Consider the following 16,662-nt stretch of genomic DNA (forward strand, 5'->3'; position numbering starts at 1 on the left):
GTCTTGAACTCCTGGGCTCCTGGTCTTGAACTCCTGGGCTCAAGTGATCCTCTTGCCTTGACCTCCCAAAGTGCTGGGATTACAGGCATGAGCCACCATGCCTGGCTATTTAGTTAGTTTTGATAAATGTATGTACCCATGTAACCGGCACTATGATTAAGATAGAGAACATTACTGTTACCCTAAAAAAATTCTCTCATGCCCCTTTCCCAGTCCTTCTTCTCCTGGCCCCTGGCCACTATTGATCTGCTCCCTGTCTTAAGTTTAGTTTTACTTTTTATACAATTTAAAATACATGTAATCATTCTAGCATATACATATACAGTACTTACAGTATGTACAGTATATACTTAGAATGTGTTTTGCTTTTTTTCACTTAGTTACTGTTTTTGAGATTCATCTATATTATGTGTATCAGTTTGAGTCTTTTCTGTGGCTGAGCAGTATTCCATTTTATGGTTATGGAGTAGTATTCCATTTTATGGTTATAGAGCAGTTTGTTAACTCTTTCACCTGTTAATGGACATTTCAGTTTCTATGAACATTCGTGTATAAAGCTTCATGTGGACATATTTTAGTTCTCTTGGGTAAATACTTAGGAGTGGAATTGTTAGGTTGTGTGGTTAGCATATTTAATTTTACATGAAATTGCCAGGTTGTTTTCCAAAGTGGTTGTTCCATTTTATATCCTATCTGCACTGTTTGAGAAATACAGTTGTTCTGCATCCTCACCAATACTTGGTACCGTCAGTCTTTTTAGTTTTAGCTGCTTTCGTGTGTGTGTAGCAGAATCTCACTGTGATTTAATTTGCATTCTCCTAATTACTAATGATACTGAACAGCTTTTCATGTGCTTACTAGCCATTCATATCTTTTCTGTAAAGTGTCTATTGAAATCTTTTTCTCAGTTTTTAAAACTGAGTTTTCTTAATATTTAAAGAGTTCTTTACCTATTTTGGAGGCAAGTCCTTTGTCAGATACATACGATTGAGAATATAGTTGACCCTGAACAACATAGGGGTTATGGGTGCTGACCCCCCTGCACAGCCAAATCTGCATATAACTTCTGAGTCCCCAAAACTTAACTACTAATAGCCTGCTGTTGACCAGAAGCCTTACTGATAACATAAACAGTCAATTAACACATATTTTGTATATGTATTGTATAGTATATTCTTATAATAAATAAGCTAGAGAAAAAATGCTATTAAGAAAATCATAAGGAAGAGAAAATATATTTACTATGATTAAATGGAAGTGGATCATCATAAAGGTCTTCGTCCTTGTCTATTTCATGTTTGAGTAGGCTGAAGAAGAGGAGGAAGGAGGGTTGGTCTTGCTGTCTTAGAGGTGGCAAAGGTGAAAGAGGTGAAAGTCCACATATACATGGACTCACGTAGTTCAAATCTGTGTTGTTCAGGGGCCAGCTGTATTTCTCTCGTGGTTGGCTTGCCTTTTCATGTTTTTAGTTTTGATTAATGCATGGATTTTACCATCATTTTTCTTGAACAAGAAAGGAATGTAAGTTTACTCTAGCATATGATAAACAGGCAGTCTGAGATTTTACAGAGCTTCTTTTCTGAGGAGTTCATTGTATTCCATCATTTCATTTGCCTTTTTTCTTTACATAGTAGGTAGGGATATGTACCTCCCTTCCCCATCATGTAAATGAAATAACTGAGGAATCGTTAGTGTGCTACAAAACCGAGAGCAGATGAAGATTCTGTAATGAAGACTTAGATCATCTATCTTCTGTTGACATTTTGCCTAGATGATGTGAAATTATAATTATTGATTCTGTTGAAAGAGAGCAAAAAAGAAAAAAATACCTATTTTGTGTATTGTTTCTGACTCGTTAGAGATGCTGTAACAATCAAAAGTATAAAAGACTGCTTTTTTAGGATAGAATTTTTGACTTTTAATTACTTAGACTGAAACAAGTTTGAACTGTAAGCCAACGATACCTAATATATTTTAATGCGGTCATAATTTTTCGGCTTTTTTTTTTTTGTTTTTCCAGACTGAGTCTTACTCTGTCGCCCAGGCTGGAGTGCAGTGGTGAGATCTCAGCTCACTGCAACCTTCGTCTCCTGGCTTCAGGTGATTCTTGTGCCTCAGCCTCCCAAGTAGCTGGGATTATAGGTGCTCACCACTACGCCTGACTAATTTTTGTATTTTTAGTAGAGATGGGGTTTCACCGTGTTGGCCAGGCTGGCCTTGAATTCCTGACCTCAGGTGATCCGCCTGCCTTGGCCTCCCAAGTGCTGGGATTACAGGTGTGAGCCACTGCACCAGCCTATTTTTTGGCTTTTAATTCTGAATTGTGAACTTAATTTTTTAATGATTTTGGTTTAATTGTATCAATCACTGATTTTTTTGTTTTTCTGTTAATCTTTGCTTTGTTTTTCATTGATAGGGCTTATCCAGTTTTTCTGGGTGCTAACTCCATTGCTGTTGATTTGGTTATAGAAGATTAAATTAAATAAAGTAAATATTGATGAGTTAAATTGTTTTAGACTTCAATATAACATAGTATCTCATTTTTTCAGAGTGCTAGCTTCCCTTAATCTTCCAGCAGCAATTGAAGATGTGTCTGGAGACACTGTACCTCAGTCTATATTGACTAAATCAAGATCTGTGATTGAACAGGGAGGCATCCAGACTGTTGATCAGTTGACTAAAGAACTGCCTGAATTACTGCAATGAAATAGAGAAATCCTAGATGAGGTATGTTTTATAAGATTTGCTTTTCAAGTATAAACACTGTGATCCCTTGATGTCCAGCAGGGATTGGGACTGGAGACTTCCTCATGCTAGTGCTCACAGTGTAGTTAGTATTCATCACTTTGGTGAATTTACTGTGGCCCAGAGCCGCCTCTTTAGCATAAGAGTAATTCTGGTTGAGTGAGAATGGGTTTCATTCTTATCTTAAGGGTAAGTAAGTACACATTAATGAAACTCAAATGACCACTGTGTAAAACTAGTATACTATGAGAAATCAACTATCATATGAACCGTTCAGTCTTTGTAATTATTGATTTATTTTATACATAGCGTGTAGCAAGATTTTTCTTTTTAATTTAATTTGTCTTAACCTGGAAGGTTAAACCCTTTAATTTATCCCTAATTTCTTGAAATATATTAAGTATATTTATTTTATATTATTTATCTTATAATTCCAATGTCTGTGGTTTCTGTGGGTTTGATTCTATGATTTGTAATTTTTGCTGATTCTTGCTTATGGTGGCTTGTTTTCTCTTGTGTTCAGTTTTTTTGTTACTGTTTTTTAAAACTTTAAAAAATAGTTTCAGATTTACAGAGACTTTGCAAATTTAGTGTGGAAAGTTCCTGTATATTTTTCACCTAGCTTCCCTGAAAGTTAAAATCTTACGCGGTCGTGGCACATTGTTAAAACTAGGAAATTGACATTGGTACAGTATTATTACTCAGATTTTACCAGTTATTCCACCAACGTTCCTCCTTCTGTTCCAAGATCCAGTACAGAATACTGAATTGCATTTAGTGTTCAGTGAGTTTTGATTGTGCATTCATATTTCCTGTAATTTATTTGTGGGAATTCATTGAGATCTGGGTTTAAGGTGAATTCTAGAAAGAATTTGTGTTTGCTTCTGCCATAAAAAGGCATTATATACCTGGCACCTCCTCAAACTTAAGAGGCTTTTTCCTTTCTTTTATAATCTTTTAATTATAGTAGTAATTTATCTTAGGACTTTGTGTCACACAAATAGTGTGGTTTCTAGTCCCAAATTCAGGCTTTTGATCAGGAATCTCAGATAATACTTCTTTTTTTTTTTCTTTTTTCTTTAGAGCCAAGGTCCAGACAGGCATGTTTTCTTCTGTAGGGCCGTTTTCTGTTTTAAAAATTCATCCACTGAGAATCATCTATTTGGAAGTATACCAGTTTGAGTGTGGAGAGTGCTTTTGATCTGACCTCTCACCTTTTATTGTCCCTACCTATGTTTCTTGTTGACTTTTCATGTTCTAAATTCACAATGCAAGTCAATGGTGAACTACACAGCTGGTGAACTATGGATGGTGGGCTAGTGCTGGCTTGTGGCCTACTTTTGTGTGGTTCACTAGTTAAGGATAATTTTTATCTTTTTTAGAGCATTGTCAAAAAAGAAGAATTCTATGTGCCATAGACTGTGGCCCACAAAGCCTAAAATATTTACTCTGTGGTGTTTGACAGAAGTTTGCTATTCTTTGTCCTAAGCTATCAGGGATTGTCATGTATTGTTGGTGCTAGCACTGTGTCTACTGGTAGATTAGTATTTTCTTGTGTTTCTGGCCCCCTACTATCCTGTCATCTTATCTACACATTAAAAGGCATTTAAAAATATATTAAACATAATTTTCTGTTCGTTGTATTGGAATGAAATTCTAAATCTTTTATTTTTTAATGTAATTGATCAGTTTTTCCCCTTTGTTTATGGCTTCTATTTATCTATTTTAATCTTAAAACTTTCTTTAAATTGATACATGGATGTAAATAGTCTCATGTATTCTTCCTTTTTTTTTTTACTGAGAAAGGTGATAGCTAATTCAGCCTTAAATTTATAAGACTTTTTGTTAAATGCATTATAACTTAGATGTCTGCAAGAAAAAAGTCGATTTATATTCTAACCTAGTATTCCCATCTCACCAAATTCTCCCTTATATTGTGTATGAACATTTAATAATTGCATTAAATTTTTTAATCCAGAAATGACATTTCAGGGTTCTTTTTGCTTCCTTTTAAAGTCATTAAGGTTTTTGGATGAAGAAGAAGCAACCGATAATGATTTATGAGCAAAATTTAAGGAACGCTGGCAAAGGACATCATCCAATGAACTGTATAAGCCTTTAAAAGCAGGTAAAAATGTGTATAAATGACCTTCATTTGAATAAATTCCCAATTTGGACCCACATTTTTACTTGATTAAATTAGGCTCAGTTGTAAATTCGTTTTTACCGAAATTGTTTTTCCTCAGTTTTAGTATAAAGATTAAAAAAGTTCACAAAAGTAATCTGCCAATTGTCAGAAGTACAGATTCTTAAGAACAGTATAAAGGGAAAAGTTAAAATGGTCCTCCAACTTTCATTTTCTGTTCCAAGCTCTGTGCATATTTTATTTTATTTATTTTTTTTTTGAGACAAGGTCTCGCTCTGTCACTTAGGCTGGAGTGCAGTGGCAGGATCACAGCTCGCTGCAGCCCCAACCTCCAGGGCTCAGTCAATGCTTCTACCTCAGCCTCCTGAGTAGCTGACACCGTAGACATGTGCTACCACGCCTGGCTAATTTTTGTATTTTTTGCAGAGACGAGGTTTTACCGTGTTGCCCTGGCTCGTCTTGAACTCCTGGGCTCAAGTGATCCACCTGCCTCCACTTCCCAAAGTGATGAGATTACAGGCTTGAATCACCATGCCTGGCCCCTGCGCATATTTTAAAAACATAAATGAGAGCATATTATATTTATGGCTTTGTAATTTTTTTTTCATTTAGTAGTGAATCCTGGGTGGTAAAACGAAAATGAGCTTTAAGTTATTTTGAGGCCAAATTTATGCTTCTTAAGACTTTGATTATGAAGATTTTGTGCTTGCTGAGATAAATGCTGTCTTCATGGTGGCTGGAGATTAGTTTTATTTATCTTTGTAAAAAGTTTGTATATTATTGAGATTTTTCTAAAAATCTTTTTTTTTTTAAGTCACATTGCTCTTTTGAGAGAGGAATACTTTTAAAATAAATGGACCAATTTTTGGAGAGAATGATTTCTTCCTACATTCATGAGTTGTAGGAAAAGATTAATATTAATTAGCTTTTATTTGGCAGATAGTAACCACCAAATGTATTTTAAGGTATAGCTATGCTTTTGATTTTATAAGTGATTTTGTCATCTTTCCAAAAACGAGAACGCAAAGACTGTTAGGAGCTGTTTTTATGATTAAGTGAATTGGGGTCTAGAGAAGGGGAAGATAAGTAAAGTTGGAGACTAGAACTCAACATATAACCAGGCCATACACGTTGCTGTTAGAATCACTTCTGTGCTCTGCAAACCTATTTTCTCCCAGAGGGAACCAGCTTCAGAACAGTTTTAGATAAAGCTGTGCAAGCAGATGGACACGTGAAAGAATGTTACCCGTCTCATCGTGACCCCATCGTGCTTTTGTGTAAGCCAGAGCCTGAGCTGAATGCTGCCATCCCTTCTGCTAATCCAGCAAAGACCATGCAGGGCAGTGAGGTGAGAAGGGCACTTTGATGTGGGTTGTCATCTGCTTAAGAAAACCACATTCAAGCCATTTTATATAATGCACTGCCAATTCCTTATTGTCATCTTTAAAAAAATGCAGAAATAAATTGGGGTTGTTATATTTAAAGTAGTATATAGACTGTGTAATAGGAAATTATACTAATATTAACTATCCTGTAATAGTCACTTCCATTTATTGAATGCCCTTTTTTGAACTAAATTTTAGATACTTCATAGGTCAACAGTATTTAATTTGGGTTTTATAAAAGAGAGAAGCTTGGAAGTATAGAAATTTCCTGAAATGAAAGGACTGGGTATGGCCAGATACACAAATTCTTTATTTCTTCCATTGTTCTCTACTCCCTTCCACCTTGTTTCCCCGGGACTACCTTTGAAAGGAAGATTGGCAAGGTGTGCGTGTTAATAAATGGATAGCTCCGTCATGGTGTTTCTACTGATGACAGGAAAGAGAAAATTGAATAGTAGGGCATCTGATTTGGAAAGTCCTAAGAGAAAGTGCAACTATAATTTAATGGCCTATCATGGGGAGGTAGGGTAAGTTAGTAGGAAAAGATAGAGGTCCCAAATCTCTGCACAGGAAAACAAGCCAAAGGGCAAGAAATACTGCTGAAAACTTCTTGAAAAAAGTGAATTTCCTGGGATAGTAAGTTCTGAAAAGTATGAGTTTTGTTTCTTATTTGTCTTTCCACAGATGCATTTTATATGTTTCATATATGTATTCCAAGACCTACTGGATATCTGCTCTGTGTAAGGCACTATGGTAGGTACATTGGAAAATTAACATACAAATTATACACAGGCTTTACCCTCAATTTATGATCCATTGTGGAATATTAGTCATGTACAAGGATGACTGTAATATAGGGAAGAAGTTTAAAAATGTCACAGGGAAAGTATAGAAGTATGTTATGAGGATTTAGATGAAGTACTTAAATTTCAGTAATTTGGAGTAGTTCTCTTCAGAGGCTTCTTAAGAGATTGGCACATTATGAGGACAGAGTGGATAGGCAGAAAAAGTAAACGTGTAGGATCGGAGAAGGGCTGAGTAGTGGCTGTGTCTAGAGAGTTATCCGAGGCACAGAGGATCTGCAAACACAGCTTTTACTCCTGATTTCTCATGACAGAAGGTTTACAGACATGTTGAGAATGGCTGGAATCTGCTTGTTTATTTATTTATTCACCAAGTGTTTGAAGGCCTGCTATTCCAGAGCAGTGCTGAGCACCTTGGTCCCTAACATAAAGAGACAAAAAACTGCTCTGGGTTACCTTTAGTGTAGGGTAAATGCACAGGTACCGGGCACCTCTCAAAGGGAAGAGAAGGCTACGTAGTTGAATGTGCATTGAACCTGAATCTAACGGGGGAACCCAGTGGAACAGGGAATGTGAGTTGTTGCTTTGAGGACATAGCGGAGAAAAGGGAGGTGGTCAGAAGATTAACTTGTGAGCAACAAAGAACCCGAAGAAGAAACTGTAGACCCTTGGAAGAGCAATACATTCTGGTACCTTTTTTATTTTAGAAAAAGATCTCTGTTTAGTACTCTCTTTGTATTCTTTTTGGTGTCTTGTACGTGACTCAGAATTATGTGGCTTTTGCCCTTTGATTCTTCTGCTTTCAGTAGAAAAGTAAAAATGGTTTGTGCTAAGCAAAATCTGCATTAGTATGCACTGATTTGTTGATATTTTATTCAGTTGTATCAGTTTTATTAATCCTTACTTGTGTTACACAGGAGAAAGGAACTTTTATAGTCAATATGAAGTAATTTTTTGGAAGCTAGAGTTCTTGATGGGGTAACCACAAAATTTCAGTACTCTCTATATATTCGTTTGTCGTGTGCCTTAATCAAATAAGGCAAGCATCAGGTTTATCAGAGCTATTTCAGATGGTTGTCATAATAGTTGATGACGCATTTTAGCCAGAATTTTTATGATAAAAACTCAGTTTTTTGATTGCTGATTAGAGTGATGCAATGTATATGTTTTATTAAAAAGTCCAAGTTTGATGGTAGGGCTGTTTTTTCTTTTATTGTGAAGTAGCCTACTTTCTAGTTACTTATTTTCAGTCTCTTTGGGCATCTGGTTTTAGATATTGAGATACTCTGAAAAATTTTGCAGACTAGTGGTCATTTGTATTTCAAGATTTTTGTATTAAATACCTAGGATCACTGCTTGTGATTGGTTGCCTATGATCTACTGTGGCCTGAAGTCTGGTCTGTGGTTGGCTGGCCAAGCCTTGGCCCTAATGTATATGGGGCTGAGTCTAGCCAGGGGAAGGAACATCTATTTTTTTGCACAAGGATGATGTTCAATTTTACTCAAAGTGTTACATCTGCTGGAAGTAACGGAGGGGGTACCTTTAAAAAAAAAAAAAAACCCTTTATCTCCTTAGAGGTAGAGCATAAAGAGAACTGTTTAAAACTGTGTGCCCTCCCAGAGGAGTGCCTTTTTTGGATTCACAGACTAGTGGAGGATCTGCAAACACAGCTTTTACTCCTGATTTCTCATGACAGAAAGTTTATAGACATGTTGAGAATGGCTGGAATCTGTTTATTTATTTACTCACCAAGTGTTTTTTGAAGGCCTGCTATTCCAGAACTGTGCTGAGTACCTTGGTCCCTAACATAGAGAGACAAAAAACTCCTCTAGGTTACCTTTAGTGTAGGGTAAATGTATCAAGTTTCTGCTTTCGTTGGTGTAGACATAGTTGCTTATTTGCCTTTTCTGAAAATAAAATGACAAGGTTATAAAAGTAAAATAGAAGATTTCATTGAGGGCATTTCTTTCTTTCTTTTTTTTTTTGGCCGTGGGGGGACGGAGTCTTGCTCTGTCACCCAGGCTGGAGTGCAGTGGTGCAATCTTGGCTCACTGCAACCTCTGCCTCCTGGGTTCAAGCAATTCTCCTGCCTCAGCCTCCCGAGTAGCTGGGACTGTAGGCATGCGCTACTATGCCCAGCTAATTTTCGTATATTTAGTAGAGACAGGGTTTCACCATGTTGGCCAGGGTGGTCTCGATCTCTTGACCTCGTGATCCACTTGCCTTGGCCTCCCAAAGTGCTGGGATTACAGGCATGAGCCACCGCGCCCGGCCCATTGAGGGCATTTCTTACGGCTTATATTGTACTTGGTGCTGTTAAATGCCACAGAGGGTTTTAAATCTAAAACTCGGGTCAGGAACCTGTGGCTTGTGGGCCGAATCCTCTGCCTCTTCTCTTTGTATGGCCTGGGAGCTAAAAATGAGTTTTACATTTTTTAAATATAAAACTCTACTTTCTACTTCATTTTTTAAATGGCTAAAAAAAAGTCAAACGAATGTTTTAATATGTGGGCATTATATAAAATTCAGATTTCAGTGTTAATACATTTTTGTTGAAACATAGCTGCGCTCATTCATTTACACATTGTCTTTCATACTACAAAGCAGAGTTAAAGAGTTGGAACAGAGACTGTGGCCTACTGAGGCAAAAATATTTTCTGTTTGGTCCTTTACCAAAAAAGTTTGTAAGTTCCTGATCTGAAAGACAAAGTATTGACAGCCTAGGTGATGCCGTTCCTGCCATTCTGTTTGACCTCATCTCCTGTTCTGCCTTTTGTTTACTATGCTTCAGCCAGAGTGGCCTTTTTTTCTTTCCTTTGATCCTGCCAAGCTTGTGCCTGCCACAGGACTGTTATATTTGCGTTTCCTTCTGTGCAGGGCTTTCTTCCCATTTCCATGGCTATTACCTCTTTTTCATTAGTCTCAGATGTCACCTCTTCTCCATCTTTGTCATTGTCTACCCACATTATTCTATTTTTGTGTATTTGTTTAATCCTCCCCTTTCCATATTTATTTAATCCTCTCTGGTCCCCAAATGAAGGAAAAGACTGTTTTTGTTAGTAGTCGTGTCCATGGCATCTAGAATGGTCCCAAAACAAAAAGCATTTGTTTGAATGGTCATCGCTGGCAGCCTTAACTTAATAAAGGGATACATTTAATTGCAGTTGAAAGGTAGCTGGAGCTGTGTATAAGAAATAAATATGCTAGGATTCTAATTATTTATATACTTTGATAACATGTTAAACCTCAAATTTGAATTTAGAAGAAAATTTAGGCAGTGGTTTTCTTATTATCGTGGTCATTCATTTGTGGAAGCAGTTTAATTCATTTTCTACTTCATTTACTCTGTTAAAATGAGGCGAGTGTCATATAATCTGAAATATGTTAAACTAGTGCACTGCATATGAATTTTTTTAAAAGATGTTCGTAATATAAGGGATCTCTATCTTTGTGTGGTAGTCCACAAGTTTGTTCATAAATTCGTTGTTTGAAATGGCATTTTTTTCCCCAGAAAGTTAGAATTATTGCATTTTTGAATATCACAGGATTTGTTAACTATTTGGCCCTCTGTATCAGTCTGGTTAGAAAGCTTCTGTATCAGTCTGGTTGGATACCATGGAAGTTGCGGTAAGCTTTTCTTCCTAATCTAGGTAATATGACTGAATACTTACCCTTTGTTAGAAGTTATGTTGAGCACTTTATATAGATTATCTCAGTCTTCACAACAGTCCTGAAATAGGTACTATTATGCCCATTTTGCAGCTGCGAAAATTGAGTTTTCTAAGTAGTAACCTGTCCTTGATTGCACAGTCACTAAGCCCATTATGGTCTCTAAGGGAGTATAGTCAGAGTTGAAGTGTTTTTAATTTTCTATGTAATTACGTTTTTTTTGTGTAATTACGTTTCACTTTGATAGACCATTAGTTCATTTGTTTCCATATTCAAGTTTTGACTTAATCTTGTTTTCTGAGTGTGTAAAAAATGTTCATGATTCAAAAGGTACATGCAGAGTAAGCCTCATTCCTTTTCCTTCTACTTCTTTCCTGTATACTTCCTGTAAGTAATCATATCCGTTAGTTTCTGGTTTGTCCTTACTGATTTTCTTTTTGGAAGAACAACAACAAACAAAAAACCCAACCTCCCCCAAAATTATGCATACATATGTATACATATGTACATATTATGTATGTGTATATTTATTTTCTGATTTTCCTTCTGTCTTACTCAAAATGCAGCACACTATATATGCTTTTGTACCCTTTTTTTCTCATTTAATAATATGTCCTGGAAGTCACTTGGAAGGAAACTTTTATTCACATCGTCTGATATCAAGTTCTACTAGGTCTTTAAACAGACTTTGTCATATCCACCCACGTATGATTCTTTCTCCTCCTCCTTCCTTTTAGAGTTTCTGTGGTTTGATGCTTTCTAGACTCTAGGAATCATATTTCTTTCCCTTTCCACAGCCTTCTCCCCTGTACCCTCTTCTTTCTCTCCCTCCCTCTCTCCTTCCCTTCCCCCTTCCTTCCTCTCTTGTCCCCCTCCCCCTTCTCTTCCTTTCCTTTCCTTCCATTTTAAAATTAGGATGTTTAGAAGATATAGATGTAAATGAGGCCAAAAAGGAAATTCGCCTACATTTAGCAGAAACCTCGAGTCTCTGGTCTTCACAAAGGGATGTTACTTTGGACGTTCCTATCAAGGAGTTAACTAAGACTGTGGAAGAAAGAGTAGGGTAGGAATTTTTAGAAACAGGCAGTTGGTAGGGGGATCATGGGAACTGGACTTGCTGCTGGTAATGAGAAAGACAGGGGTGGAGACAGGGCTCATGATGTCCTCTTCTTCCCTTTGTCTTTCCCCCTGTTTTCTTTCTATGAGCATCATTGGGGCAAGCAGAATAGGGAGATTGGGTTGATGTTCTTGGTGGTCCTAGCAAAGTATGAAGAGATGAGTGAAAGGGGCAGCTTGAAAGTGCTCATTAGAAGGCACTTGAACACTATGAATATAAAGGGGTATTTATGAATCAGGTGGGTATAAGTCAGAGAGTGTCTTGACTGAATACAAGAGATAAATCTCTGTTTTGTTTTTGTATTTTGTTTTGAGACAGGGTTTCTCTCTGTCACCCAGGCTGGAGTGCAGTGGCATGATCATGGCTCACTGCAGCCTTGACCCCCTGGGCTGAAGCAATCCTCCTGCCTCAGCCTCTGGAGTAGCTGTGACTGCAGGTACACACCATTGCACCCAACTAATTTTTTTTTAATGTAGAAATGGGGGTCTCACTTTGTTGCCTAGGCTGGTCTCGAACTCCTAGGCTCAGGTGATCCTCCTAAAGTGCTGGGATTGCAGGTATGAACCTCTACATCTGGCCTAAAACTCTTAATGCTATGAAGAGAGGCACAAGAACCCTCTTTCCTTTTCCTCTCCCGGTGTATAAAATAAATGTGGTATATACCTTTATATCTGTGTCTTTCTCTATTTCTTTCTCCATCTACCATGCTTGCTTCATAACTATCTCTATTTCTATCTTCACCTCTATTTCTCTATATCTCTGTCTGTCAGTCTCTCTAGGCAAAATAGGATATCTACTTACGTAGCAAAATCATACCTTCCCCTGCTTCACAGCCATGATTGGGAGGGAGTAGAGTGTAGAGTGGCTAAGAGATTGGTTTTGGAACTAGTCAGACTTAGGTCTCAAATTTCACCTCTGCCCCTTAGTAACTGTATAACCATGTCACTTAATTTTTTTGAGACTCGTTATCCCTATCTTTGGAAGAGAGGTCATAAATATATATACCCCATGGGGTATTGTAAGGAATACATAAAATTATATTTCTGAAGTGTTTAGCATGGTGCCTAACACATAGGAGTTCAGTAAATTGTAGCTGTTGGCTACTGTTATTAATGCTGCTTTTGTTTTAATATGAGTCAACTGAAGGTACAGTGTCTATCTACATAAACCTGATGTTCAATTTATATTTGGCTCTCTGAGAACTCATCTCTCTCTCAGCCCAAATGAACCTTTATATATTATTTCCTTCTTGAAATTGGCTTTTTTTTTCAGTTAAACTAAAGTGTCTTTTTTATTGTTTAGGTTGTAAATGTCTTAAAATCCTTATTGTCAAATCTTGATGAAGTAAAGAAGGAAAGAGAGGGTCTGGAGAATGACTTGAAATCTGTGAATTTTGACATGACAAGCAAGTTTTTGACAGCCCTGGCTCAAGATGGCATGATAAATGAAGAAGCTCTTTCTGTTACTGAACTAGATCGAGTCTATGGAGGTCTTACAACTAAAGTCCAAGAATCTCTAAAGAAACAGGAGGGACTTCTTAAAAATATTCAGGTGAAATTTATGTATTTAATAACATCTATGTTTTAAAAATTACAGAAAAGATATGTCTGGACTAAACCTATATTCAATTAGAAAAATGACATTGGAGAATATCTGTAGTTGAGAGTAGAACTTAATACATATATATTTTGTAAAATTAAACTTGGCATATCAGTTTTATTTGTGTCTATGAAACCAAGTCACTCCTTGTTTTTTTTTTTTTTTTTTTTTTTTTGAGATGGAGTCTCGTTCTGTCGCCCAGGCTGGAGTGCAGTGGTGCGATCTTGGCTCACTGCAAGCTCCGCCTCCCGGGTTCACACCATTCTCCCGCCTCAGCCGCCCGAGTAGCTGGGACTACAGGCGCCCGCCACCACGCCCTGCTAATTTTTTGTATTTTTAGTAGAGACGGGATTTCACCGTGTTAGCCAGGATGGTCTCCATCTCCTGACCTCCTGATCCTCCCTCCTTGGCCTCCCAAAGTGCTGGGATTACAGACGTGAGCCACCACGCCCGGCAGAAACAAAGTCATTTCTATGGCTAAAATGTTGCATATTACTTAGGAGTGCTTGATACTTCTGATATTTTTCATGGTTTCAAGTTTTTAATAGCTTTGTTTTTTTTTTCCATACGGGAGGAAAATCGAAATTAGTTGGAATTACTGATACCTTTAATTATACGGCTAACATACATACAGACTTCAGTCATTTTTTAAAAAAATAATGCAAACTAAATATGTTGAGAAGTTTGAAGTTAGTTTTCGTGTTTACAGATAGGTAGTTTGGACTAACAAAGACTTGAAAGTTTGCCCTTTTCATAGTTAATGTGCAAAATTAAACATATATTTCTACTCCTAAACATTGTATCTATATATGATATAAAATATTCCAAAAGGTAAAATAATTTTCATGTTATATTTTTTGCAAGTGTTATATACTAATAGAAATCTGTGATCATTATTGGTTGTTTTGACTTCTATTGGATTTTTGAAATTTTTACTTAAGAAAGATTTAAAGCATAATGAGGCTTCAAAAGAGTATACTAGGTATTTCTAGTAATTTTGCATATGTATTTAATTACATATGATTTTCATAATTGGAAAAGATCAATAAAAATGTTATGAGCCATATTTTATAAGTAAATGTAAATACATAAATCTTTCTTTTAACAAGGTCTCACATCAGGAATTTTCGAAAATGAAGCAATCTAATAATGAAGCTAACTTAAGAGAAGAAGTTTTGAAGAATTTAGCTACTGCATGTGACAACTTTGTTGAACTTGTAGCTAATTCGAAGGAAGGCACAAAGGTATGAAGTACATGCAAAAGGAACCATAGCTAGCAAGTACAGATGTGAACGTATAGGTTGGAAGTTAAATGGTATTTCCAGTTGAACCAAATTACTCTTTGCCTGGAATGTTAGCTTTAATGCCATTGCCTCTGCGAAGTTTGTTACAGGAGGGAGAAAGCTTAATGAAGGTGGCAACATTTCATGGGAACCTTGAAGAATGAATTGCATATTTCAACTGGCAGAAAAGGGGTACAAATATTCCAGGTAGCAGGAATTAGCAGAGATGTCAATGACACCTTTTTAAGGGATAGGAAGTTGATTAATTTGATGAATTTTGAGGGGACAGGAGTAGTCAAAGCTGATTTGTGATGGAAAAGCTGGGCGGGCATGACTTTTATATTCTGTGTGGTGGTTTGCTGAGGACAGACTTGTGGCCTGCCCAAGTGTCAGAAGGCTTGCTGAATATGTAAGTACTTTCTTGCCTTGTCCTTTAAAAAGTTTAGGGAATTCACTTATATTTGTTTTTACCAATTTGTTTTTGAGGGAACAGTGATTTTTAAGTTTTCTCAGATGCATAATTCCTTTTGGTACTTAACTTCATAATAATCACTGAATAAAGTTACCTTGATATAAATACAGTAGCTAAAATGTAAAACCCTCTGAAGAGAGGGTGAAAATACTGCAAAGCCTTCCAAATAGAGAGGATGGTAAAATGCCATTTTAACTTGGTTTAAAATGCTTTGTTTAAATAGGTAAGCTGAGAAAACCCTCCAGAGAGCCTTTAGAAATTCTTTTAAGGGTTTCTGAAGTATGCTTGCATTTCTTTTTTTTTTTTTTTTTATACTTTAAGTTTTAGGGTACATGTGCACAACGTGCAGGTTTGTTACATATGTATACATGTGCCATGTTGGTGTGCTGCACCCATTAACTCGTCATTTAGCATTAGGTATATCTCCTAATGCTATCCCTCCCCCCTCCCCCCATCCCACAACAGTCCCCGGTGTGTGATGTTCCCTTTCCTGTGTCCATGTATTCTCATTGTTCAATTCCCACCTATGAGTGAGAACGTGCAGTGTTTGGTTTTTTGTCCTTGCAATAGTTTGCTGAGAATGATGGTTTCCAGCTTCATCCATGTCCCTACAAAGGACATGAACTCATCATTTTTTATGGCTGCATAGTATTCCATGGTGTATATGTGCCACATTTTCTTAATCCAGTCTATCATTGTTGGACATTTGGGTTGGTTCCAAGTCTTTGCTATTGTGAATAGTGCCGCAGTAAACATATGAGTGCATGTGTCTTTATAGCAGCATGATTTATAATCCTTTGGGTATATACCCAGTAATGGGATGGCTGGGTCAAATGGTATTTCTAGTTCTAGATCCCTGAGGAATCACCACACCGACTTCCACAATGGTTGAACTAGTTTACAGTCCCACCAACAGTGTAAAAGTGTTCCTATTTCTCCACATCCTCTCCAGCACTTGTTGTTTCCTGACTTTTTAATGATCGCCGTTCTAACTGGTGTGAGATGGTATCTCACTGTGGTTTTGATTTGCATTTCTTTGATGGCCAGTGATGATGAGCATTTTTTCATGTGTTTTTGGCTGCATAAATGTCTTCTTTTGAGAAGTGTCTGTTCATATCCTTTGCCCACTTTTTGATGGGGAGTATGCTTGCATTTCTGTAGTGAATTTGAAAACCTAATCCTTCCACTTAAATAGGTTTCATGTTATTAAACAATTGACTTTTCTCTAGGAATTAGGAAGATTTTCATGATCATGAAACTTTTAACTTGTTACATTTTTGATGATAATGTTCTATAAAAATGATTTTATTATTTTTATTTTCTTTAGGAGTCTTAGATCATATTTAATATTAAGTTGTTGGGCCTAGTAAATTGTATGGATGTATCTCATGCAGATCTCAGTTCTTCGGCTTTAACTGTCATTGACAAATTAGCTTTAGATC

At 36.8% G+C, this 16,662-nt stretch overlaps 1 pseudogene across 1 annotated transcript in view; it reads left to right on the plus strand.

Moving 5' to 3' along the window:
* The window catches only part of PDCD6IPP2 (PDCD6IP pseudogene 2), a 66,741-nt pseudogene that overhangs the window by 12,345 nt on the left and 37,734 nt on the right, over positions 1–16,662 (plus strand). Inside the window, exons 5-9 of the transcript NR_037599.1 lie at positions 2,550–2,727; positions 4,762–4,873; positions 6,070–6,239; positions 13,169–13,417; positions 14,575–14,709. The product of NR_037599.1 is annotated as a PDCD6IP pseudogene 2 (transcript). The remainder of the gene's footprint in view (positions 1–2,549; positions 2,728–4,761; positions 4,874–6,069; positions 6,240–13,168; positions 13,418–14,574; positions 14,710–16,662) is intronic.

This window comes from Homo sapiens, chromosome 15 (assembly GCF_000001405.40).
Source record: "Homo sapiens chromosome 15, GRCh38.p14 Primary Assembly".
Classification (NCBI taxonomy): domain Eukaryota; kingdom Metazoa; phylum Chordata; class Mammalia; order Primates; family Hominidae; genus Homo; species Homo sapiens.